Source organism: Homo sapiens, chromosome 3 (assembly GCF_000001405.40).
Source record: "Homo sapiens chromosome 3, GRCh38.p14 Primary Assembly".
NCBI classification, from domain to species: Eukaryota; Metazoa; Chordata; class Mammalia; order Primates; family Hominidae; genus Homo; species Homo sapiens.
The window spans coordinates 100,224,950-100,227,686 of NC_000003.12; the positions used below are offsets into that span (position 1 = coordinate 100,224,950).

At 43.8% G+C, this 2,737-nt stretch overlaps 1 pseudogene; it reads left to right on the plus strand.

The window, feature by feature from the left end:
- VTI1BP1 (vesicle transport through interaction with t-SNAREs 1B pseudogene 1) lies at positions 301-1,321 on the plus strand (annotated as a pseudogene).
- The last annotated feature ends 1,416 nt before the right edge of the window (positions 1,322-2,737 follow it).

Consider the following 2,737-nt stretch of genomic DNA (forward strand, 5'->3'; position numbering starts at 1 on the left):
TCTGTCTCAAAAAAAAAAAAAAGAAAAAAAAATTATGCTAAGTGAAATAAGCCAGTCACATAAAAAGAAATGCTATACAATGCCATTTATATGAGGTACCCTAAAATTCATGGTGAAAGAAAGTGGAACAGAGATGATTACCAGGGGCAGAGGAAGGGGAAAATGAGGAGTTGTTTAATGGATGTAAAGTTTCAGTTTTGCAAGCCGAAAAGAGTTTGAAGGTGGACGATGGTGATGGTTGTACAACCATGTGAATATACTTAATGCCACTGAACTCTACGCTTAAAAATGGTTAAAGCGGTCCTGGGCTGCGGTGGCACGGCGGTCGCCATGATGGTCACTGGGCTTGGCGGCTGACCCCCGGGCTAGGAGAGGGCCCAGCGCCCCGGATCTCGGTGGCCGCTGCTAGAGCGCGGCCTGTGCCATGGCCACCTTCACCGCCTCCTCAGAGCATTTCGAGAAGCTGTACGAGATCTTCCGCGGCCTCCATGAAGACCTACAAGGGGTGCCCGAGCGGCTGCTGGGGGCGGCGGGGACCGAAGAGAAGAAGAAGTTAATCAGGGATTTTGATGAAAAGCAACAGGAAGCAAATGAAACGTTGGCAGAGATGGAGGAGGAGCTACGTTATGCACCCCTGTCTTTCTGTAACCCCATGATGTCTAAGCTTCGAAACTACCAAAAGGACCTTGCCAAACTCCATCGGGAGGTGAGAAGCACACCTTTGACAGCCACACCTGGAGGCCGAGGAGACATGAAATATGGCATATATGCTGTAGAGACTGAGCATATGAATCAGCTTACAGTCTCAAAGGGCAACGCTTCCGCAAGGCACTGAAAGCCTAAAACAGGCCACCCAAAGTATTGAACATTCTCATCAGATTGCCACGGAGACTGACCAGATTGGCTCAGAAATCATAGAAGAGCTGGGAGAACAACGAGACCAGTTAGAACGCACCAAGAGTAGACTGGTAAACACAAGTGAAAACTTGGGCAACAGTCGAAAGATTCTCCGTTCAATGTCCAGAAAAGTGACAACCAACAAGCTGCTGCTTTCCATCATCATCTTACTGGAGCTTGCCATCCTGGGAGGCCTGGTTTACTACAAATTCTTTCGCAACCATTGAACGTCCTATAGGGAAGGGTTTGTGGACCAGAACTTTCACTTTGTGAACGCATGATGTTAGGGATGTGGATGGAATAAGCATATTGCTGCTGTGGGCTAACAGTTCAGGGATGCACTGTGTAGCCAGACTGTGGGAGGAGGGAGGAAAGATGGAAAGCCACTTAAATGCGAAGGAACAGCAACAAGACCAGTATGATATACCAAGGTAATAAATGCTGTTTATGACTTCTTTAAAAAAAAAAAAAAAAACGGTTGAAGTGGTAAATGTATGTACTTACCACTTTAACCATTTTTAAGTGTAGAGCTTAACCATTTACTACTACTTTAACCCCCCACAGACACTCAAGATCAATGTGCCATGCCTGGAGTTTGGAATGGCAGATATGAAAAGCCCTTTTTGAGTGGGTAATTACATGTGAACTAACCATGTGAACAAGCCAAATATCAGTAAAGAAGATGGCATGATGATTGCGGCAGCTGAAAGCTGCAGCATCTTCTAAAAAGTCTTGCTAGTTTCATTGGGAATGAATCGTCTCCCTATCAATGGAGAGTTTCATTAACTTGGGTTTATTGGGTTCGCTAAAACAGTCCCATTATTTAAGCACTCAAAAAGTTCTTCAGTCAGAGACATCTTATGTCACTACATCACCGAACAGAACTCTGTCAAGGATGCTCTGTAGATAACTTCTTAGCACAAGGAATTCATTCTCCTAAATACATGGGAGCCTCCACATGGCCCTTTAAAAGACACTGACCTCTTTGAAATTAGGACTGCAAGATCTAGTTAACTGAGGGCAACTCCCAGTTGCACGGATTCTTCTGAACTCTGGTTCTCAGAAAGACTAAATGAAGGAATCATCGGAAGACTCAAAATAGAATCTGTCACATACCAATCCTATGAGATAATGCGTGATCTTGCAGAGGCATTAAGAAGAAGGAAGACAGATAATCTGAGGCTGTGTTTAACGTGGTTTATTGGCTTCTATGGACTCAAAGACCGTGGAAACAATCTTCTTCTTCCATAAGAAGAATATATATATATTTGTTAAACTGAAAATAATGGTTAAATCCTAGGATCAGGACCACTAGAAGGAAGGAGTTCCTGACTCCCTGACTTCCTTCTGGCCAGATGAGATACCATCAGTCTCTCAGCCAATACAGAAACAGTCTGTATTTCAAGATGTTCATTTTTGACCTCTTTTGCATTGTCAGGGATTTTTAGATGGCCTATAGCTTCATGCAGGCTTCTTTGGCTCATACTAGTGAGAGTTTCCCATATTGACTAAGGTCAGTTTTTGACCTCTGGAATCCTCAATATGCTATCCTCAAGGCAACTGCCTTCTTCCTAGTGTCTTATAAATTAGCTGTGTATTTTCTGGGATCAACCATATCCTTGGAAAACTGACTGCAGCTCATCCAAGAAACTTGGCCCCTATATTTCTCTCTCCAGAGACAGCTGTGTGAAGATTTCAGGAGCAATAACTCAGACAAAGGGTCCTCAGTGGTCAGCAGAGCCCCAAATTTGGATAAGGTTTCACTTGAATATTCATTGGCTTTAGCAGTTTGGCAAAAGTAGGAAAGAACTCCTAATTCCATGGGGTTAAATATCCTCCC